The 24,634-nt window shown below is 42.0% G+C and overlaps 2 annotated features.

Moving 5' to 3' along the window:
* Window positions 10,661-10,760: a silencer, noted in NCBI's record as "silent region_9468". NCBI's record gives its function as "represses an Ori minimal core promoter by ATAC-STARR-seq in GM12878 lymphoblastoid cells {active_cell/tissue: GM12878}" and the evidence as "EXISTENCE:reporter gene assay evidence [ECO:0000049][PMID:35858748]".
* Window positions 24,365-24,454: an enhancer, noted in NCBI's record as "active region_13330". NCBI's record gives its function as "activates an Ori minimal core promoter by ATAC-STARR-seq in GM12878 lymphoblastoid cells {active_cell/tissue: GM12878}" and the evidence as "EXISTENCE:reporter gene assay evidence [ECO:0000049][PMID:35858748]".

Here is a 24,634-nt window from a genome sequence, read left to right as displayed (position 1 = left end):
AGAAAATCCACGAACATCTAATGAGGACCCATCATATACAAGACAGCATGCTAGGCTCACTCAGTGGTGTGAGGCATGATCCTTGCCCTCACAGAGCTTGGAGACCTGTGGCAGAGGTAAGACATACTCACGAAGAGTCAAATATCAATATAAAGCTCTATGTAATAAGTGATAAAAAGAGTAAGACAAACACTAAGAACTTAGAGGCTGGAAGAGCAAGAAATCAGTAGAGATTGGAATGCTTCAGAGTAGGTATAAGTAAACGGACAGGAAAGAAGCGCAGGGCTCTGCAGGCAGAAAGATCTGTATAAACAACTATCCAGGGGAGGAAAGAGTGTGGTAAGTAACTGTAATTATTATAGAATATTCTGACTGAAGCAATGATTCTTAGAGAGTTTTAGTTGGGGGGAAAGGGGTTGAAAAATTAGGGAGAAAATTAAATAACAAGCTAAAAACTTAGGCTTCTTGTTATATGAAATGAAGTGCTGAAGACTGTTGAAAATTAAGTCAATGGAAATAGACCATCTCTTTTCTTCAGTATCAAAGCCATCAAAGCCACTGATCTAAGAGCTTGCACTTGGTTTGTGTGTGAAATAATAAGCTTTTGAACACAGGAGACTTCAATCTAGGTTGAGTGCCCCTTATGAGACTCTAATGCCTGATGATCTCAGGTGGGACTATTTCATCCTGAAATCATCCCCTGCTTCCAAGAAAAAATGGTCTTCCATGAAACTGACAATCAAGCATTATATTATATGAAAAGTGAGAAATTTGGAGAGGGTGGGAATGAGTCATGGGAAACAGGCATCATACTGATAAGGTGAGGTTTGCATTTCAGGTATCTTGCTGTAGCTGCTACTTGGAGGATGGATTTAACAACGATGAGATTGGAAGGAGCCCAGGTAGAAGGCTATTGCAAAACTCCAGGCAAGAGTTAATGAAGGCCTGTACTGAGCTATTGACAACAGGGATGGAGACGAGAAGAATGCAAGGCATATTTAGGATGCATCATTGGGACTTGATGATTATCACTGACTATTGAGCGGGGTGATGAGAAGGAGGAATTCTAGACTGACCCACAAGCTTCTGACCTGGGGGATGCTATAAACTGAATTCTGTGCCCCACTCCCTACCCAGTTTCGTATGTTGAAGCTTTAACCCTTAATGTGATGGTATTTGGAGATGGGGTGTTTGGAAGTTAAATGTATTTATTTAAATTTTTTATTTCCATAGGTTATTGGGGAACAGGTAGTGTTTAGTTACATGAGTAAGCTCTTTAGTGGTGATTTGTGAGATTTTGGTGCGCCCATCACCTGAGCAGTGTACACTGCACCAATCTGTAGTCTTTTATCTCTCACCCACTTCCCCTCCTTTTCCTCTGACTCCCCAAAGTCCATTGTGTCATTCTTATGCCTTTGCATCCTCATAGCTTAGCTCCCACTTATGAGTGAGAACACACGATATTTGGTTTTCCATTCCTGAGTTAGGAAGTTAATTAGATTTAGAAGAGGTCATGAGGTTGAGGCCCTCATGATGTGATTAGTGCCCTTATAAGAAGAGACACCAGAGTTTGTTTCCTCTCTCTCTCTCTTCACCTTGTGAGGGCACAGGAAGAAAGTGGCCATCTGCAAGAAAAAGGCCCTTACTAGGGAAAAGAATTGGCTGGTGCCTTGATCTTGGACTTCTCAGCCCACAGAACTGTAATAAATAAATTCCTCTTGTTTAACCCACTCAGGCTCCAGTATTTTGTTTGGCAGCTGGAGCTGACTAACACAGGAGACTAGGTAGAGAGTACTATTAACCAGGATACAGAAGGAGGTTCTTTTGGGAGAGGAAGATGGTGAGTTCAGTGTTAACACTGTATAAATCAGGACTCTTTGGCTGCCAAGTCATGGAAATCCATATCAAACTACTTTAGGGAACTTCATAAATTCACCAAATGGTGGAAAGTAGGGGTTGAGAAAACTTCTTCAAAACTGAACTCCAAAAGCACCAGGATTAGCTCTCTGTCCTGACCTCTGTCTCTCTCTTTCCCTCTCACCCTTTGGCTTCACCTGTATTTGGGCTCATTCTCTCAAAGCCCTTCAAGTGGCAAGGGATATTCCACCAGCAGTTCTGGAATCCAAGAAGAAAGAGAGCTACTCCTTCCTTGCAACTTTGAAAAATTCCTGGAAAGAGATCCCACAGGAATCAGAAAAATGAATGAGATAGTCTAAGTCCCTTCTTTTGAGGAATTATAGTCAAAAAAACACAAAAACTTGAAGACACCTCTGATATTTCCAAAGAGCGGACCCCAATCCTGGCATGTAATAAGAGCTCAATAAATATTAAATCAAAGGACAATGAAAGGACACTTTCCATAAGATAATTTGGCATTTATGAAGTACCTTCATGGCATACATTTTCATCTATTATAGAGTCTCTCCTTCGGCCCTGGCCTCAACTCATATGTCAAACAGTAACAAGTAGGTTGAAGTTTTTGGACAGAAGAGCCAAATTCTGCAGTCACACTTCACTCAAAACTCCTGGGAGACCAAGCAACAGGAGGCAAAAGCTGGAAAACACATTACACTTCGCATAAAGAATTTCTCCCCACCCCCACCCACCACCATCACACCATTTAAATTGTCCCGCCAACTCACCAACACAGCAGTACCCACTGCACCATGTGTTAGGAGAGGAGGCTCAGAGCCCTAGCGAACCGCTTCTAAAGACTATAAAACCAGCTTTACACTATCACAGTGAACACTGGTTTCTCTTCATAATTCTACTGAGCTTCTCTAAAGACAAAGATTGGATGGGCATGTTTAACAGCGATATTCATAAATGACAAAGACTAAAATCAGATTTCAAAACTGCACAGTGCATCTTCAGTATTACAGCACACAATGTTTTTTGCCTTTTGTCTGAACCTCAATATATTTAGTTTTATTATATACTAATTTTATTTTATTTTATTTTATTTAGGCTGCCAGTAACATTTATTGAGGGCTCCCTCATGCATGACCCTGAACTATGTACCAAGAGAAAGATAAAAGCAGCTAAGTTTCCCCAGGGCACAATCAAAAGAGTATCAAGAACATTATTTATTTGATAAGTCTAGATTAGACCCCTCTTTCTCAATCTCTGAATCCCAGTCCCCCAGAAACCTCTTTGTTCTGATCCTATGGGACTCCACACAGACTCATAAGTGGTCATGACCATTCTTTCCCCTACCTTATTGGTGGCCTCCAGTTCTTTCACCATTTCCCTGCTGCCACTGTCACAGCCCTGTCATCACCAGCTGGGTATCGCCTTGACTGTAGCCAAGGAACATTTATTTGTTCCAGCTGAATGATCTACTTATCTATTGAGTGGGGTGATGAGAAGGAACAATTCTAGACTGACCCACAGGTTTCTGATGTGAGAGATGCCATAAACTGAATTGCATGCCCCACTCCATACCCAATTTCATATGTTGAAGCCTTAACCCCCAATGTGATGGTACTTGGAGATGGGGTGTGCATGTGTCCACACACGTGCACACACACACACACACACAACCCCGTGATGTATTCCATTACTCATCACAAGATAACTCTACCCTGGCCTCCATTACTTAAAGAACTCTAAAGATATAGTTCGCTCCACTTGCTTTTCATTACAACCCTCCTGCCAACAACCCTGGCACAAGTCTACAGGGACTAGCTTAACAATATAACACTGTTAACATCTCTAGCGGTTAGGCCAAAAGGCCTTCTGGAAACCTCCACCCTCACCAGCCCTTAGCCTCCTGTTCTTCCTGCCTCCAGCGAAGGTCTTACATCAAGCTCATGTGCATCCTCTCCTCCCTCAGGTCTGTATTTCCCTTCTGGGTGCTCACTCAGAGGGGACTCCTGGTTACCCTAATGACTCAGGAGTCTTGGGCTTGGAGTGGGCGTCCTGTGAGCGAAGCCACTCAAAGGGGCCCACACACCTATCAGAGTCCATAGCAGAGAAACATTCTAGACCTATGCCCCTGGGGCTCCCTCTACACAAAGATGATTTATGGTCAATTGTTTGGAACTCAGAGCCATTTTCCTCCCTAAACAAACTAAAGAGTGGTGGGTAGGTGCTCAGGAGAACTCACAAAACTCTATTTGACCAACAGACCTCATCTGGAGTTCTACACATATGATAGAACCTACCTAACAATATCCTGCGGTTCTATGGTTGCCATGGGGAAGTGAGTTCTAAGTTCCAGCCAGGATCACAACTCTGCCACTGCCATCAGCAGGAACAACCCAGCTTTCACCTTCCACTGCTTGCCATCCCAAAGGTAGGGAATTGCCTGAAGCCTAGAGAGTGTTTGTTTGTTTGTTTGTTTGTTTGTTTGTTTTTTAACGGACAGGGGCAGCCACTTTGAGGGCTGAGGTAAGAGGATCACTTGAGCCCAAGAAGTAGAGGCTGCAGTGAGCTGTGATCACACCACTGTACTCTAGTCTGGACTACAGAGTGAAACCCTGTCAAAAATGAAATGAGGCTGGGTGCAATGGTTCATTCACACCTGTAATCCCAGCACTTTGGGAGGCCCAGGCAGGTAGAGCATCTGAGGTCAGGAGTTCGACACCACCCTGGCCAAGATGGTGAAATCCCATCTCTACTAAAAATACAAAAATAAGCAGGGTGTGGTGGCATGCACATGTAATCCTAGCTACTGGGGAGGCTGAGACAGGAGAATCACTTGAACCGGGGAGGCAGAGGCTGCAGTGAACCAAGATCGTGCCACCGCACTCCAGCCTGGGAAAGACAGAGAAAGATTCTGTCTCAAAAAAACCACAAAAGAACAAAAATGAAATTAAAAGGGATGAGGGAAACAGAAAGATGTGACTCTGGGAGATGAAGCAGGCTGTACAGGCAGGGGAGTTCAGAAGGGCTGCCTCAGGGTTTTGGGCTCCTCCAGAGACTCAGGCTGCTCCCCTGTGTGTCAACTCAGAAGACAGGCCTTGATGGCATGTTCAGCCCGGATAGGACTCCCATCACAGAGTCTACACTACTGCACTGATGCTGCAGAGAGCAATGGATTTGGGGGTTCTAATGGAAGAGAAGGTGGGAACTAAGAAAAGTCTGTCAGGTTTCTGGGTGAGGTCAAATAAGGAATTTTTAAAAAACGATTAACAACTAAAGCTAGATCAGTATTTGATCAGTATTGTACTTAATGAGGTCAAATCCAATTTAATACACTATTATTATGGAATTCTGAATACAAATATTGAATGTTTGTCAATCCTATTAGATAGGGCCCTTTTGTAGATTTGAGAGACCCCTCGGCCTTTGTCTATGTCTAATCTGTCTCTCTTATTTGCACTTTAATTAATACTTGGCTTGTGTAGAGTCAGATAAACTTACTTATAAGTTAAGAAAGCTAAATGTAAAGAAAACAAGTATTAACCTCTATTATATTTCCCTGGATCTGTTCAGAAAGGTAAAAAATATATATATATATATATATTTTTTTTTTTTTTTCTAGATGGTGGAGTAGGAGGAGGTGTGAAAAAGTTTTCTATATTTTTAATAACCTTTGTTCAGAGACCCAAAAAGTAATTTTTTAAATGGCAGTAATAATATGAAAATGTTTCTTTTCATTGCAAATATGAATGGATTTAAACGACTTTTATCTAAGTCTACTGTCTTATTCTGCTCTCATCTAAGTCTATACTCTCATTTTATTTAAGATATTATGGTGTCAAATTACTTTCACCTGACCACGTACCTGAAGTGGAAAAAAGGGAAATGATGATTTAGAAAGTTTACCAGATTCAGGAAAGGAACTGAAGGGCTATTTTAAATTCCACAATCCTGGTAGCTTTGGTGTTCTGTATTAACAGATTAAATAGTTCCATGAGAATTATTTAGATGCAATCAATTCAATGGTATTTTCTGAAACTATTATGTGCTAAACAATGCATTGTAGTGTGTCACACGAGGATCTACACACAAAAGCACACAGCATGGTACCTTCATTGATGGAACTTATAATTATTTACATATGTGAAAAGCCAGAGAACTCTGTTTAACATGTAACCAACTACTAAACCCAGTGCCTATTGCTTTCTTAAATAAGAGAAGATGAGGGACCCAAGGTAGCTCCAGCAAACAAGTTACAATTTAAATAGACTGACAAATCCTTTGAATGTTGGAAATTAACAAGAGCCCAAGTAAGGTTAAGCTTGGCCTTTTATAAGAAAGTATGGGCCAGGCTGGGTGGCTCACTCCTGTAATTCCAGCACATAGGGAGGCCGAGGTTAGCGGATCACCTGAGGTCGGGAGTTCGAGACCAGCCTGGCCAACACAATGAAACCCCGTCTCCACTAGAAATACAAAAATTAGCCAGGTGTGGTGGCACGTGCCTGTAGTCCCAGCTATTCAGGAGGCTGAGGTAGGAGAATTGTTTGAACCCGGGAGGCAGAGGTTGCAGTGAGCCAAGATTGTGCCACTGTACTCCAGCCTGGGCAACAGAGTGAGACTCCATCTCAAAAAAAAAGAGAGAGAGAGTATGAAGAAACTGGGCTGGGCACAGTGGCTCATGCCTGTAATCCCAGCACTTTGGAAGGCTGGGCAGGCAAATTGCTTGAGCCTAGGAGTTTGAGACCAGCTTAGGCAACATGGCAAAACCTTGTCTCTACGAAAAATAAAAAAATTTAGCTGGGCGTGGTGGTACATGCCTGTGGTCCCAGCTACTGGGGAGGCTGACGTGGGAGAATCACCTGAGCCCGAGGGGAAGGCTGCAGTGAGCCATGATCACACCCACTGCACTCCAGCCTGGACGACAGAGTGAGATCCTGTCTCAAAAAAAAAGAAAAGGAAAGGAAAAAAACTGGCCTGAAGTGGGAAAGTTACTTTGGAACACATGGGAAGAGATAAGAGAGAGGAGAACGTGTTTTGAGAAGATGAGCTTGTCAGTGGTGTGGAGGTGCATAAGAGGAAAATATATCAATTATGAGGTCACTGCAGTCTTCTAAGGGGAATGTGGCCAGAGTTAGCACTAGTGTGGACGTATGAAAATGAAAAGGGAGAAAGACAAAAGGTATTTCAGCAGAAATACAGACACAACGTGTGCATCATTAGAGTAGGAGACAATTCTTGTTCCTTTTAAAATTTTCATCTTGGTTCTTTCCTTTTGTCTGGATCCATTTCCTCTATGTCTTTTATTTTTTTGTCTTGTTTTTTGTTGGTGGTGATTGGGTTTAAATTTTTTTTAATTTTTTTAATTTGTGTTTTAAATTATACAAGCATACATGTTAGTTTTGGAAATTTTGAAAAATATACAGGAAAAGTATAAAGACATTAAAAAACACCTGTACTCCCACCACTCAGATGATTTCAGATAACATTTTTTTCCAATCTTGATGGATGCATTTAGGAGTGATTATTAAACAAGATGGGCTGGGTGGAGTCCATAGATGAAGCAGCTTGATGGCTTCCTTCCCACCATGGCCTTGGAGCATACTTCATCAGTTCCCCATTCTCTGCCCTGAGCCACGGTTCAGGAAGATCCCATAGCTTTCCTGTCATTTTCAGGTATTGGCACTGAGTCACGTGCCGGCATTAAAAGTCCATATCTAAGTCAAATCAATACTTCCGCCTCCCTGAGCTCAGGATCTGCAGTTTAGGGGCTTGGAGTGGAACAGGTCATGGTCTGCTTTGTCATTCTTGTCACCCCATCCTATTCACACTGTGAGAAAATCCATATACCCTTACTCCAAGGGTGGAAGTGAGGCTTGTGCCTACTGGTGCTCGCTCTCTCTTTGCCCTGACTTTGTGGACTACTCTAGCCAACTTCCCACTTTCGGATATTGCCACAGCTGTCTCAGGCACCAGGGTCTATGCCACAAAGCACTCTCTACCCCCATAAATTCACTTCAATTGTCCTTTCTGAGAAATCTCTTATATAGGCTGCTGCTGGTGATAACGGTGAGCACTAGGCTTTTCTTTTTTAAATTTACAGTAAATATTGTGAAGCTCTGTCTAACCCCTTTTTTGAGAATATGAGGATATTTGTTATCAATTACTCTTAGCTTTGGGCTTTGGCCAAAAGTTCAAGACGATAGAAAAAGTCCATTTCACATCCTAATACATATACACACACACATACACACAAAATAATAATACTTAGGCCATGCACAGTGGCTCATGCCCGTAATCTCAACGCTTTGGGAGGTCAAGATGGGAGGACTGCTTGAAGCCAGGAGTTCAAGGCCAGCCTGGCCAACATAGTGAGACCCCATTTCTTTTTCTAGGAAAAAAAAGAAATAATAATAATAATTGAGACCACATCACATCATTTGCATCATACTTATTTTCCACTAGCATTATAGAGTGAGCATTTCCTGTGTCACAAAACTATATTCCAAAAACATGAATTTTTTCTTTTTTTTTTTGTTAATAACTGCATCGTATAATGGCAGTAATACAATTATAGGATTAAGAGACCACAGGAGAAAAGGCAGGTGATGTTTCTGGAAGATAGATATGGAGTACAAAAAGGGAGTGGAAGAGTCATGTGACAATCATTGTAAAAATACAGTACAAGGCCGGGTGCGGTGGCTCACACCTGTAATCCCAACACTTTGGGAGGCCGAGGCTGGTGGATCACCTGACGTCGGGAGTTCAAGACCAGCCTGACCAGCATGGAGAAACCCTATCTCTACTAAAAACACAAAATTAGCCAGGTATGGTGGCTCATGCCTGTAATCCCAGCTATTCGGGAGGCTGAGGCAGGAGAATCACTTGAACCCGGGAGGCGGAGGTTGCAGTGAACTGAGATTGCACCACTACACTCCAGCCTGGGCAACAAGTGTGAAACTCAGTTTCAAAAAAAAAAAATACAGTACAAAAACATGATTTTTTTTAAACATGATGTTTATTGGCTTATAATTTTTCATCATATGACTGTTCATTTCTCATTATCTATTCAGCCATCACCCAATTACACATTTATAATTTTGCTAACATAAATGTCATTGCAATAAATATCCTTGTATGCAAATCTTTGTGCACATCTTTGTTTATATTCTTAGGATAATCCTAGAAATAGAATGTTTCAATCAAAGGTTATGGACATTTTTAAGGCTCTTAATACCACAAGAAAACCCCTCAAGAAAAGTGGAATAACCACTCAGTGTGTGGAAGAACACACACATTGTACCCAAATATTATTACCAGATTTTTTACATTTACAATTCGATTAGTGAAGTATCATACTTTCCTGTCATGGTTTATATTTCTTTGTTATTGAGGCAGACTCTTATTTACTCTGTATTTTTTCTTCGGCAAATGGTCTGTTCATGACCTCTGCTTATTTTTCTCTTGGAATCTTAATGTTTTCTTATTGATTTAGAAACTCTGTCCATGTAATAAGAATAGTTATCCTTTTTATCATATTGTATTTGTTGCAAATGTTTCCCAATTTGTTCAACTTGATTTTGCAGTAATCAGGGCAACTCTGTGGGCCTTAGGTAATAAAATTATCATCAACTTTTACCAAGCTTCTAAATCTTTCTGTTTCTCCTTTAATCTCTTGTGGTCTCCATTTGGCTTCATATGCTTCTGCCAGCAGCTTTCTCCAGATTGACAACCTTCTAGCTTCTATATCCAGGGAGGCCAAAAAGATTTAATGTCAGGTAGAAAAACTCAGAGCAGGCTGACCGGCCCAGCTTTATAACATGCTCACCTCCACACCAATCACTGGTGCCAAGAAAAGCAAGTGCTCTGATTTGCCAGATTAAGACATGTTGTTAAAGTGAGACGAGAGCCCCTAAACAAAGGAAAGAGCTGGATAAACTGGTCAGACAAAGCAAAACAAAACAGAAACAAACACAAATACTAACATAGGTCTTCATTAGTATTTCCTTCTACTAGTGTGATACTTCTTTCTTTAACCCAAAATTAATACATTTTTCTTCTGGATTTTTTTATTATTATTATTATTGAGACAGAGTCTCACTCCATCACCCAGGCTGGAGTGCAATGGCACGATCTCAGCTCAGTGCAACCTCCGCCTCCTGGGTTCAAGCAATTCTCCTGCCTCAGCTTCCCAAGTAGCTGGGATTACAGGCGTCTGCCACCACGCCCCAGCTAATTTTTTTTTTTAATTTTATTTTTAGTAGAGACAGGGTTTCACCATGTTGGCCAGCCTAGTCTCGAACTCCTGACTTCAGGTGATCCACCCGCCTCAGCCTCCCAAAGTGCTGGGATTACAGACATGAGCCACCGCACAGGGCCTGGATTCTATTTTTTACATCTAGCTTATCTTCTCCAAATCCCTTTGTGTCCTGTCCTCTAAGGTTCACTTTGTTTTCGCTTTGTTTGTTTGTTTGTTTGTTTGTTTGTTTGTTTTTTAAGAGGCAGGGTCTCTGTCACCCAAGGCTGGAGTGCAGTGGCACCATCATAGTTCATTTTAGGATCAAACTCCTGGGCTCAAGCAATCCTTCAGCCTCAGCCTCTTGAGTACCTAGGATTACAGGTGTGCACCACCATGCCCAGCTGGCTTCATCATTTCTGCTGGCTTGGTCATAGCCAGTACAGCCAGTTCCAGCCCCGGTTCTTCCTGGGTGGTCTAATGTTCCCTTCACCTCCAACACACACACACTCCCTTTCTTCAGTTCATTCTGCACACCATCACAAAATTAACAGTCCCCAAACCTCACATCTATCCCTTCAATGATGTCATTTTCCTCTTCACAAGCCCTTAGTGTGGCCTCCCTGCCCCACCCACTTACCACAGAGAGGAAGTGACCACTAATGTCATGACCACTCACTTGGCTAGATCACAATGAACTGTTATTTCACACAGCTTTCACAACTCTGCTCGCAGATATAATCTCCCTTGTACGGAAGGGAAACTGAAGTTCAAAGAAGTTAAATCATTAAGTAATGCATTGTTCATATGTAGCGAGGCTGGGACTTAACCGCTACTCTGCCTGAATCTTTACACAAGAAACCAACCCATCCACAGTAGATGGGCCTCCAAGCAGAGTCTAAACCCCTTAGCCTTTTCAAATTTCCAGGTTTTGCTTCCTCTTGTTGCCATATATCAATCCCTCATTGTAATCAGATGTGTCTACTCACCTCCCAATCCCACCCCTGAGGCTCCCAAGTCTGTGGGCTTCTCTTTTGCCTCTGTGTCTTTACTTGTGGTAATTCTCACCAAGAAACTGCCTTTCCCCCTCTTTTTTACCCATTTAGAGTCCACCTCCCCTAAATGTCTGCTTAATTTCACTACTTCCGTCAAGACTTTACTATCTTTTTTTTTTAATTATATCTTCTCAAAATGCCTACAATATGTTTCTCTGGCATCCACTGAATTATTAGATCCTTGCCTTCCATGCCCTCGTGCATTCTAACTTTCAACCATTCTGCCACCTAGATTATGAGTCTTTTGTGGTCTAGTGCATGACTTATATTTCCTTGTATTCCCCATATGTTTGGTACAATAACTTGTAAGAAGTTAGTCAATATTTGTTGATCCGTGTCTTTCTCCTCCAAGGGGCTGTATTACCAACAGGGTCTCACTCTGTCACCCAGGCTGGAGTGCAATGATGTGAACACAGTTCACCGCAGCCTCAACCTCTTGGGCTTCAGCAATCCTCCTGCCTCAGCCCCCCAAGTAGCTGGGACTACAGGCACACACCACCATGCCCAGCTAATTTTTTTTTATTTTTGGAAGAGGTGGGGTTTCACCATATTGCCTAGGCTGGTCTCAAACTCCTGGGCTCAGGCGATCTGCCCACCTTGGCCTCCCATCGTGCTGGGATTACAGGTGTGAGCCACCATACCATGCCAAGTCATAATAATTCTTGAAAAGCTTTTCCCCTTTGGCAAAATATTAATTTGATCTTAAGACTCAAATATTTGGACATTCCTATTACATTGGTAATTTTCAAGAGTCAAGATCATAACAGTTGTAAAATGCTGAGAGTATAGATAAATTATTGGGAAATTTACACTAGCAAATATTTAGTTTACCTCCTAATAAACCGCTAATAAACACGCATAGAGAATTTACTACCAAATACCACTATATGGAATGTTTTATTGATGTACCTTAATAGTAGTTCATAGCATCTAAAGAGACGCGAAATCAATTTTAGAGGACCTTAAACTTATTAAACATTACTATTTACTTTCTACCAGATTTTACAATGTTACTTTATATAATAAATAGAAGTTACAGGAAAACAAAATATGTTTGGGGAATATGGAAAATGATCTAAAGATTGTTTTATATTGGAGGTTAGAGTACCTGTTTTAACTAGCAAGGCTTTGAAAATTGCATGAAACTTAGGAGATGATAAATGTTTACAATTTGCATCCACATTGTTACTAACACAATAGCCTGTTAAATCCCTTGGCAGGAATATGAGCAGACTGCAGGCCATCCACATTATTCATCTAGGGGGAAAAAACATTATTCACAAATTTTAATTGCTCCTGTGACACCAACAGTCTGAAAATGAAACATAAAAATGTAGCCTTTGGGAAGTTTTACTGTGCAACGACTTTATGCAACCCTGACCAGAGGGATCGATGTCTCTATCACAATTACACAAAGACCTGAATAAAATAAGTTAATAGTTTCAACTCGGGTCCTAGTGAACCGTTGACATATTTTAAAATTCATTCTATCCACTGTAAACTCAACAAGTCCTACACCTGACCCAAAATAAATAAGTCACCACCTCCCCTAAGAACCAGTGCCCTGAGGGAGAGGTTTTAGCAGAGAGATTTACATTTAGGCTCTCCAGGTAAAGGGAACCAGCCGTTGCCTGCCTAGAGAATTAGGTTGACCTTCCACCTCTAAAGCTAAGACTTAGAGGGTTGCAAAGAAAAAGAGGAGGATTGGCAGGAGAGATGGTGAGAAACACCAAATCAGAGAAGTGACCTTTAGATTCAAGCTACAACAGAAGCCACCGACTGTCATGAAACCCTTGAAACCCTAGAAACATTTACCCCAGACTCACTCTACCTGCAGCCCTCCCCATTAAGAGCAACAGCATCTTCTGCTTGCACAGGCCAAAAACCTTGGAGTTTGCTGGCACTGTCTTCAAAAGTGTGTCCCAAATCCCACTGTTTCTTGTCACTCTGCTCCTCTTTGTGTCATCTACACTCAATTCTCAACATGTTTATATATAAGTATCACTTTTTTTTCCTTTTTGGTACCAATTCCTTGCTTAAAACTCAGCAATGCCTTCTCATTTCCCACAGAGTAAGGCTGAAATCCTTTAATTTTTTACTTTTTTTCTAACAGAGACAGGGTCTCACTCTGTGAGTGCAGTAGCTGGAGTGCAGTAGCACCACCTCAGCTCACTGCAGTGCTGGGCTCAAGCAATTCCTCCACCTCAGCCTCTCCCATACCTCCAACTATAGGTGTGCACCACCAGGCACAACTAATGAAGTCCTTTAAATGGCCTAAAAGTTCTGCATGCTCCACTCCTAATTTAGCCTTCACTCTAGATGTGTGGCTCTTCCTGGAACACTTTTTCCCCAAATACCCCCTTGGCTAACTCCTTAACCTGCAAATCTTTGCTCAGACATGACCCTCTCAATCAGGCCTACCCTGACCCACCATCGTGGGTCAGGATCCTGCCCAAGACCCCTGTAGTTGATATCCTCCTTACCATATTGCACTCTTGTTTATATATATACAGATGTGTGTGTGTGTGTATATATATATATATATGTGTGTGTGTATATATATATATATATGTGTGTATATATATATGTATATATATTTATTTTAAGATGGAGTCTCGCTCTGTTGCCCAGTCAGGTTGGAGTGCAGTGGCACAATCTCAGCTCACTGCAACCTCTCCTTCCCAGGTTTAAGTGATTCTCCTGCCTCAGCCTCCTGAGTAACTGGACCACAGGCACATGCCACCACACCCAGCTAATTTTTGTATTTTTAGTAGAGACAGGGTTTCGCTATGTTGGCCAGGCTGGTCTCAAACTCCTGACCTCAAGTGATTGCCTGCCTCAGCCTATATGACTGGTATTACAGGTATGAGCCACTGCTCCGGGCCTTTGTTTTTCATATAGCATTATCACCTTCTAACATGCTGTACAATTTATTTTGTTATATATTGTTGTTTAACTTTTGTGCCCCACCCCCCTTATAGAATGTGTAGGTTCTGCAGAAGAAGGGATCTTTTTTGTTGTTGTTCACGAATGTGTTCCAGATACTTAGAACAGTGCCTGGGACATAGTAGAGGCTATGTAATTATCTGTTAGATAAATAAATGAATTCATGTTTTATCTGTGAAGAAAATGAGGCACTAACAGGATAAGTGATTTTTAAGCTAAAAAGCAGCCAACTCCCCTTTACTGCATGTCCCCCACGGTCTCTGGAAGATGTATTCCATAGGTTAGGTTATAATGGCAAATTGACATTTTTGTCAGTGTTAGAATACAGTGGTAGAGAAGTTCAGTTCTACATCAATGAATCTTAGAAGTTAAGAAAACGATCATTTCACATTAACTCCTTTTTTTTCCTATCTTTCTTTCTTTCTTTTTCCCTTTTTTTTTTTTTTTTTTTGAGACAAGAGTCTTGCTCTGTGGCCCAGGCTGGAGTGCAGTGGCGTGATCTCGGCTCACTGCAAACTCCACCTCCTGGGTTCAAGCAATTCTCCTGTCTCAGCCTCCTGAGTAGCTGGGACCGCAGGCGTGCGCCACCATGTCCGGCTAATTTTTGTATTTTTAGTAGAGACAGGGTTTCAATATATTGGTCAGGCTGGTCTCAAACTCCTGACCTCAGGTGATCCACCCACCTCGGCCTCCCAAAGTGCTGGGATTACAGGCATGAGCCACTGGCACCCAGCCTTCCAGCCTTTTTTTCATTTTTCTTTTTTTCCTGACCATTAGATCATCAGGAATCATGTTATCTGAAACTATCGCAGAGTGGTGAGAGTACAGGCACTTTTTAATGTCTTCTTTATCTTTAGTAGAACTCTAGATTTCTTTTTTGGAAGCTTTTCAGTTATGAGTTTAATTTCCTTATCATTATAGGAATATTTAGGTTGTTTAATCTTGGTTGAATTTTGGTACTATATAGTTTTCAAAACGTTGGTCCATTTCTTCCAAGTTGTTGAATTTATGAACATAAAGTTGTTTGTGGTAGTCTCCTTTTATGCTTTTAATGGCTTCAGGATCTATAGTGGGATCCCATTTCATTGCCAATGTTGATAATTTGTGTCTTCTTTCTTATTTTTCTCAGTTTTGCTAAATGTTTAGCAATTTTATTGATGTTTTTAAGGATCCATATGTTACATGGAGTTTCTCTACTATTTCCATATTTTCAATTTTATTGATTTCTGCTCTTAACTTTATTAGTTTCTTTTTTTCTGCTTGTTTGGGTTTATTTTGTTCTTTTTCTAGTTTCTTCAGGTGGGGATTTAGGTTATTGATTTGAACCCTTTCCTTTTTTTCTAATATATTTTAGTGCCATAAATTTCTCAGGTGTGCTTTAGCTGTGTCCCACAAGTTTTCTGGGTTTTTTCTCTTTCTTTTTTTTTTTTTTTTTTTTTGAGATGGGGTCTCGCTGTCACCTAGTCTAGAGTGGCGCAATCTCGGCTCACTGAAGCCTCCGCCTCCCGGGTTCAAGCAATTCTCCCATCTCAGCCTCCTGAGTAGCTGAGTAGCTGAGTAGTAGTAGTAGGTGTACGCCACCACACCCAGCTAATTGTTGCATTTTTAGTAAAGATGGGGTTTTACCATGTTGGCCAGGCTGGTCTCAAACTCATGACCTCAGGTGATCCACCTGCCTTGGCCTCCCAAAGTGTTGTGATTACAGGCATGAGCTACTGTGCTTGGCCATCCCACACGTTTTCATATATTATATTTTAATTTTCATTCAGATCAATGTATTTTTTTATTTTCCCTGAAAGATTTCATTGACTCATGGATTATGTGTTGTGTAATCTTCATGTATTGAGGTTTTCTTGTTTTCTTCATGTTATTGATTTCTAGTTCAATTTTTTTATAGTCATAGTGCATACTTCATATAGCTTCAATTATTTTGAATTTGTTGACGTCTGCTTTATAATCCAGGATATGGCCTATGTATACAACTGTTGCATGGGCACTTGGAAAAAAGTTATATTCTGCTGTTGTTAAGTGGAGTCATCTATAAACATCAATTACATCCTCTTGGCTAATGGTGTTATGTAGTTCTACTTTTTTGCTTTCTGTTTACTAATACTTCTATTAATTACTGACAGGGAGTGTTGAGGTCCCCAACTATAATTGTGGATTTGTAGTTCTCCTTTCAGCTTTATTGTTTTCACATTGTTTGGTTTTGTTTGTTTTCCATGTTTTTGTTTTTGTTTTCAATTTTTTAGACACACCCAGGCTGGAGTACAGTGGCACGTTCTTGGCTCACTGAAACCTCTGCCTCCAGGGTTCAAGTGATTTCCCCTGCCTCAGCCTCCTGAGTAGCTGGGACTACAGGCATGCACCACCAGCCTGGCTAATTTTTGTATTTTTAGTAGAGACGTGGTTTCTCCATGTTGGCCAGGCTGCTTTTGAACTCCCAAACTCAGGTGCTCCACCCACCTTGGCCTACCAAAGTGCTGGGATTACAGGCGTGAGCCACCGCACCTGGCCTTTTTTCCATATATTTTGAAGCCTTATTGTTGGAGCATGCACATTTAGAGCTGCTGTGTTATCTGGGTAGATTGATCCTCATGTAAATAAATATGTATTATCAGGCTCTGTGCTATAAAGTGAAATAGTCTTGGGCAGTTTGTGATTAGAGCATATAAGTAGCTTAAACTATGTATTTTAAATGTGTTGGCCAGGTATGGTGGCTCGTGTCTCTAATCCCAGCACTTTGGGAGGCCAAGGTGGGAGCATCACTTGAGCCCACGAGTTTGAGACTAGTCTGGGCAACATAGTGAGACCCCCATCTCTACAAAAAAAAAAAAATTAATTATAAATGTGTAAACCAGGGTTTTGTTGTGTTTTTTGTTTTTGTTTTTGTTTTCAGTAGATTTCATTTTCTAAAGCGGTTTTAGTTCACAGCAAAATTAAGCAGAAAGTACAGAGAGTTCCTATGTACCCCCTCTCCACACAGACACACAGCCACCCCATTATCAACATCCAGTACCACAGTGGAACATTTGTTAGAATTCTTGAACCTACAAACCTACATTGACTCATCATTACCACCCAAAGTCCATAGTCTACATTAGGATTCAGTCTTGGTTCTGTACACTTTATGGGTTTTGACAAATGTATAAAGATGTGTATCTACCATTATAGTATTAAAAATGGTAGTTTCACTGCCCTAAAAATTCTCTAAGCTCCACCTATCTATTCCTCCCTTCCTCCAACCCCTGGCAACCACTAAGCTTTTTACTATCTTCTTACAAACCAGGGGTTTTTAACTTGGTGTTTTATGTTAGTTAAGACAGGCTAACTGGGATGGCTGGGCCTTGGTGTGGACCTGCACCTCCCTTAGCAAAAATTTATAAAATTAAAAAAAAAAAAGATAGGCTAACTGCTATAACCAATGTATACAAAAATATATTTCAAACTCCTTAAAAATCTTTTTTTTTTCCACTCATATAAAGTATGAAACAGGTACATCTGATTGGAGGGCACCTCTGCTCCATGTGGTGACTCAAGCTCCTTTTATCTTGCGGCTCTGTCATCTTTAACATGTGGCTTCCAAGTTCATCATACTCATTTACATCCACAGATAGAGGAGGAACAAGGATGATAATATGAGGGACTCTTGAAGGAAATTCTGTACACTTGGCTAAAACTCAGTCTTCCCAACCACAGTGGAGGCCAGGAAATGTAGTCTAGCTGTGTGCTCAGGAAGAGGAGGAAACAGATTTAGTGAACATCTAGCCAGTCTGTTTCATAGGCCTACAGAACCCCAAGAGATCCATGGGTAGACTTTAAGGGGTCGTTTAAGCATACAGAAATATACGAGAAATGTTGCCTTCATATGTATTTTCCTGGGGAGAGGAAGGGAAGGACTAGCCCTGATTCTATTGACTAGGAATGTAGGTTGGAAGAAGTCAAATGTAAGCTGAGGATTAAAAATGTGTGGAGATGGGGAAGGTGGGATAGAAGGTCAGGGCAATCTGAGCAGAAAAACAACACTAGCAAAGGCACAAAGATGGGATAGTACAATGCATATTTCAAAAACGGCCAAAGGTTCAGATTAGCTGTTGAACTGAGTTTATTTGAAATAATATCCATTTAGTTGGTCAGTCAGCAAGGACATACTGGCCCCTCCTAGGTACCAAGTGCTATGGTAAAGCTGGCTTTATAAAGAAGAGAAGAAGAGAGACAATTCCAGAACAAAGAATGCAAAGTGTTGCTAGGGACATAGAGGACACCATAAGAGCCAATTGCAGGACATCTACCTTACCTAATAGGTTAGGGAAGACACCCTAGAGGAAGTGATGTTTAAGCTGAGCTCTGAAGGACAACTTGTATTGACGTTAGCTTAGCTAAGAGTGAAAGGAGAGGCCAGGTGCCATGGCTCACACCTGTAATCCCAGCACTCTGGGAGGCCGAGGCGGGTGGATCACGTGAGGTCAGGAGTTCAAGACCAGCCTGGCCAACATGGTGAAACCCCTTCTCTACTAAAAAATACAAAAATTAGCATGGTGTGGTGGTGGGTGCCTGTAATCCCAGCTACTCAGGAGGCTGAGGCAGGAGAATTGCTTGAACCTGGGAGGTGGAGGTTGCAGTGAGCTGAGATTGCACCACTGCACTACAGCCTGGGCCACAGAGCAAGACTCCGTCTCCAAAAAAAAAAAAAAAAAAAAAAGACTGAAGGCAGAAGAGCCCTATTCCAGGCCTGGAGGCATAAGAAGAATATGTAGAATATATGAACACTTGCCAGAAGGCCTTTATGGTAAGAACAACAATGTAAAAGGAAGCCTAGCATGAACAAGGATAAGAGGTAGACATAGCCCAGATGCAGAAGACCTTGTATGTTAGGAAATGTGGATATTATCCTAAGGACGACAAAAAGGGTTTTAAGAGAAGTAGAAGAAGTAATCCTGAATTAAAATTATTCCAGCTGCAGCATGGACAATGAATTAGAGTGGTGCAAGACTAGATGTAAGAATATTTGTCTTGGGGACTCCTGTTCATCATCTAGACTGTGGTAATGATGGTTCTGAACAGTTTTAGTCTCAGCACTTCTAACACCAAATGTATGGGGTTTTGTCTCCAAATCAAACAATGCTCCAACTTTCTGGACATCGAGTGGGTGTCTCAAAATTCAATTCAGTTCTGGCACTAACTACTTGGAGTTAACATAGATCCCATAGGTTAAGGGCTCAGCCCCACAAGACTGCCCCACTGCAGATGCCAACACAAGTTTTGAGTATCCAGGGTACCCAACCTTCTATCCAATTTGGCTACAAAGTCAGGGGTTCCCAGGGACACAAATATTTGCTAGAGTGGCTCACAGAACTCAGAAAAGCATCTTACTATTACTGGTTGAGTATAAAGGATCCGAACGAACAGCCAGGTGAAGAGGTACACAGGGTGAGATCTGGAAGGATCCTGTGCTCAGGAGCTTCTGTCCTAGTAGAGTTGGAGCACACTACCCTCCTGGTATGTGTGTGCCTTCACTAACCCAGAAGCTCTCCAAGGGTTTTTTTTTAATGGAGGTTTTATCATACATGCATGTTTATTAACTCAATCTCCTATCACCACCAATTATTCAGGAAATTACAAGAGTTTTAGGAGCTCTGTACCACAAATTATGGATAAAGATCAAAGATAAATTTCTTATTCTATCACAGTGGTAGAGATGCAGAAAGATGGATGGATTTGAGAATTGGTATGACCCTTAGAACCTGATCTTTGACTGGCTATGGGAGTTAAAGAAGAAGTCAAGAATGTCCACCAGGCTTTTGTCAAAAGAATGGAGTAGACAATGGTGCTATCTAGCACACTATTAAGCTGAAAATCAATTTTACCTGAGAAGATTTGTTTGAGAAATTGAGTTTAAACTGAGGTTGAATTTGAATTGCCAATTCCAGGTATCCATAAAACAGTGGGACTTGTGGGTCTGGAACTCAATGGAGAGATAAGAAATGGCAATATGTACTTGGGAACTGTCAACAAGGTAATAGAAGCCTTGGAAATGGATAAAAGTTTAGGTGGAGAGTATACAGTAAGCAAAAGCAGGCCTGACTGAGACTGATCTTTGATGGATGCCATATGTGAGTGATAGGAACACAGAGCCTTCTATGGAGACCAGGGCATGACCATGGAAGTAAGAAAAGCAGAGCTCAAGGAAGGGAAAGGAAGAGGTTGCTTTAAAGAGCAGTCAATAGTGTCAAATCCTGCCATGGAAAGGTTAAGCTGGATAAGGATAAAAAGCGCTCAATGGATTTACTGACAAGGTGAGAATAATTTCAGTGAAGCAGCAAGAGCCATGGCTGCATTGCAGTGCTTGGTAAAGAAATGGGCAGTGAGTGCAGACAGCTGATTGGAGAAGCTGATTGAAAGTAAAGAGGGTGGTGACAAGAGGGGGATGTGCTGTCAAGGAGGAGTTTCTGTTAATATGGGAGAGATCTGAGCATGCTTATGTGACAGTTTTGAGCACCTGAAAGAATGATACCAAAATGTGGAAGGCCTGGAATTCCATGTAGAAGATTTTCTTGCAAGGCAGTGAGCCATTCAAGGCAAGAGAATGACATGTTCATGGTCCTGGGTAGGAAGAAATATCGTGGAGCTGGGTATTACTACTTCTGAGGAACATCCTACCCTAAAAAACTCGTCCTGCTTTATAAAGGAAGTATGTGCTTAGTTCTGGCTTCTGTCTGAGGGTCTCAGCAGAATCTTTCACCATGTTTTTTTTCTGGCAGTCTTTACAGCATTGCGTCAAAATTATTGTCTAATTATCTCAATTTTCTTACTAGGACAAACATCTTGTTAAGCTTTGTTTACTCTGCAATTATTCCAACCTTAATATTACAATTGGATAGATTTTTAGTTCAGCAGCCAGCCTGCGATTTGATAAAGGGCAGGGCCAATGCTGTAGGTTTTTTGTCCTATGATCCTTAAAGCAACTCTTCTTCCTCACCACCCTCCATGTGTCAAACTCTGTCATAAACAACACCATAGGAATAAAAGGGAAACCCTCTTCAGGTGCAAATTAGTGCGTGGTGTGACTGAGGGAGATAGAAGGGACTGGGAAGTTTGATATATTAAAATGAAAGAATCCCAGTCATTATATTTAGAGAAAAAGCAAATCTCAAAGTTGCTTCATAAACAAGATTTAATACAAGACGATAAATTTAGACCCAAATGGGAAGGTCTGTGAGCTTTAATATCTCCTGCCTTATTCATAAATCGCAACATTGACCAAATATAAATTAATGCATGAATGTATATATTTGTGTACAGGAACTCATGAAACCTCATTTATTATGTGAGAATGAAGTAGAAAGCAATTTTATATTATAAACATCTACATTAAAGCATTTGGCATTTTTATTTTATTTTATTTTATTTTAAGACAGAGTCTCGATCTGTCACCCAGGCTGGAGTGCAGTGGCGCGATCTCAGCTCACTGCAACCTCCACTTCCCAGGTTCAAGCGATTCTCCTGCCTCAGCCTCCCGAGTAGCTGGGACTACAGGTGCGTGCCACCGTGCCTGGCTAGTCTTTGTATTTTTAGTAGAGACAGGGTTTTGCCATGTTGGCCAGACTGGTCTCAAATTCCTGACCTCGGATGATCCACCCGCCTCGGCCTCCCAAAGTGCTGGGATTACAGGCGTGAGCCCGGCCAAGCATTTAGCATCTTAAAAAATCCTAGCCAAGTGGATCTTTGTGAAACTTATGTACATGAATCTATTTCTTACATCTCCCCCTCTCAAAAGAAAAATGTGCGGTGAACTATCACTCCTGCTACAGCTTTTGCTTTGGGTTCTTGGGAAGAGAACTGGGAAGACTAAGGAGTGAGCATTATATGATAATTCATGAAAAGAGGTGGAGAGAAGGACTTTCAAGTTTCATTTGTATTTCCTTCCAATGACCAACATATCCTGGGGTGACTGCTGTATATTTTATTTGGCTTTCTCCCTTGATTGGATTTGATTTTTAGAAGTTCTTCCCTTCAAATAATATTGTTTAAACTTAAATATCAGACAGCAAACATTTTGCATATTCTATAAGTAAATGTCTAATTGTATAAGCTATTCATTGATACATTAAAAAAGATTTAGTACCTTTTATCAAAATATCATGAAATGTGTCCTTAAGGCATATCTCGAAAAGGGTGTCAATGTAGTAAATCAGTGAAAATTGTGCGTAATTGGGAAGGTAGGGAAGGAAAAGATCACTTTTCACTATGGGTAAGGGCAAGATTTCTTCTATAAACCCACCTCCTCCAGAGCTTACTGCTACAATTGTGTTGTTAGAGAAGCAAGACACAGGGTTCTAGGAGGGCTGGGGAAATCTAGGAGTAGTAACAGGAAAGGTTTAGTGTTAGCTAAAAGTCTCTAGGTCTTTGATCAGAGGGGTGAGGTAGGACTGTGCAAATGTCCTATGGGCACAAAATAGCAAATGCAAGTCACAGTTTAGCCTTCTCCGTCTTGGTAACAGCCTAGACAATTTAGAAAAGTATATGTTCAATTAAAGTTGACTCTTAAGAAACGAGTTTAAGGCAATTAGGTATAATAAATTAATCCAATATAGAAAGTGTCCCGTTATAATTTTAAAATCAAGAAATTTAGAGTACTTACTGAGTAGTACTTGAAATGCAGTTAGTGTGAAAAGAACTTCTGGAAGTGTAAAACACACCCTGGTTTCAAAGGCTTAATGCAAAAGAACTGTAAACATTATCAGTAATTTTATATGGCTTACATGTTGAAATACTATTTTGGACATATTGAACTAAGTGTATTTATTAAAACTATGTTTCTTCTTGCTTTAAAGGGGTCATTTAGAAATTTTAAAATTACATTGTTACATTGTATCTGTAGGTATAGGACCAAGCTGCTGGCTAAGATTAACCTGGCAGGACTTAGTACTAAAGGGATAGACGGGCTAGTCACAGCCTAAGACAGAGGAAAGTTAAGAAGCATAATTTTTAACAAGCCATTTAAAAATACCCCCTAGAGGCCAGGCGCGGTGGCTCACGCCTGTGATCCCAGCACTTTGAGAGGCCCAGGTGGAAGGATCGCTTGAGCCCAGGAGTTTGAGACCAGCCTGGGCAACAGGGTAAGAACCCAGTCTCTACAAAAGATAAACAAAATTAGCCACGTGTGGTGATGCGCGCCGGGCGTGGTGATGCACTGGGGAGGCTGAGGCGGGATGATCACTTGAGCCTAGGAGGTCAAGGCAGCAGTGAGCTGTGATCATGTCACTGCACTCCAGCCTAGGCGACAGAGTGAGACTCTTGTCTCAACAAAAACAGAAATAATAACCTCTAGAAAAGATAGCCACTGCGTGAGATCACCTGAGCAATACTGTGGGAAGAGTGTCTAGGGAGGAGGAAACGGGGATTCATTTTCTTAAAAAGCACCAAAGAGCTGGGCGAGGTGGCTCACGCCTGTAATGCCAGCACTTTGGGAGGGCGAGGCGGGCGTATCACTTGAGGTCAGGAGTTCGAGACCAGCCTGGCCAACATGGTGAAACCCCGTCTCTACTAAAAATACAAAAGTTAGCTGGGCGTGGTGGCACGTGCCTGTAATCCCAGCTACTCGGGAGGCTGAGACAGGAGAAACTCTTTTTTTTTTTTTTTTTTTTTTGAGACGCAGTTTCGCTCTGTCGCCCAGGCTGGAGTGCAGTGGCATGATCTTGGCTCACTGCAACCTCCACCTCCCGGGTTCAAGCGATTCTCCTGCCTCCGCCTCCCGAGTAGTTGGGATTACAGGCGTGCGCCACCATGCCCGGCTAATTTCTGTATTTTTAGTAGAGACGGGGTTTCACCATGTTGATCAGGCTGGTCTCGAACTCCTGACCTGACCTCGTGATCCGCCCGCCTGAGCCTCTCAAAGTGCTGGCATTACAGGCGTGAGCCACTGCAAGGGGAAGCTCTTGAGCCCGGGAGGCGGAGGTTGCAGTGAGCCAAGATCGCACCACTGCACTCCAGCCTGGGCGACAGAGCTGGACTCCGTTTAAAAAAAAAAAACAAAAAACCCCGAAGAGCTAAACTTCAGCACCTCCAGGCTGCTGATGTAACCATCCTGCCGGCAGAGAAGCCGGGCCAGCGGGGCGTGGGAGGAGCATTCCCGAGTCCGAGAGGGAAGGCCCGGGAGCCACGCGGCTCAGGAAACCGCCCCCGCGAGGGGATAGGAGGATACTGCGTGGCCCCTCCTTCCGTGACTCTTCTTAAGGCCCTTCCTCTGAAGGGGGCGATCTCTTCCTCAACCCAAGGAAACAATGCTCTCGAACCTATGCCTGCAGCTCTGCTCCAGGCCGCTCACACAGTGCCTTCCCTAAAAGAACTCAGCCACATGGGCTACAGGGATGAAGGGTTGGGGGGAAACAAATCCAGGTGTGCGCTTCGACCGCACGCGCCTGCGCCAAAACCCCGCTTGGCCCTTAGTTTCAGCCTCTGCTGCAGCGCCTTCGTCCGCCTCCTTTTTCCCGCCCCCGCCGGGGACGTCACAAAGAGTGACGTGTAAAGTGAA

The sequence above is a fragment of the Homo sapiens genome, chromosome 18 (genome assembly GCF_000001405.40).
Source record: "Homo sapiens chromosome 18, GRCh38.p14 Primary Assembly".
Taxonomy (NCBI): Eukaryota; Metazoa; Chordata; class Mammalia; order Primates; family Hominidae; genus Homo; species Homo sapiens.
This window is presented reverse-complemented; position numbering and strand designations above follow the sequence as displayed.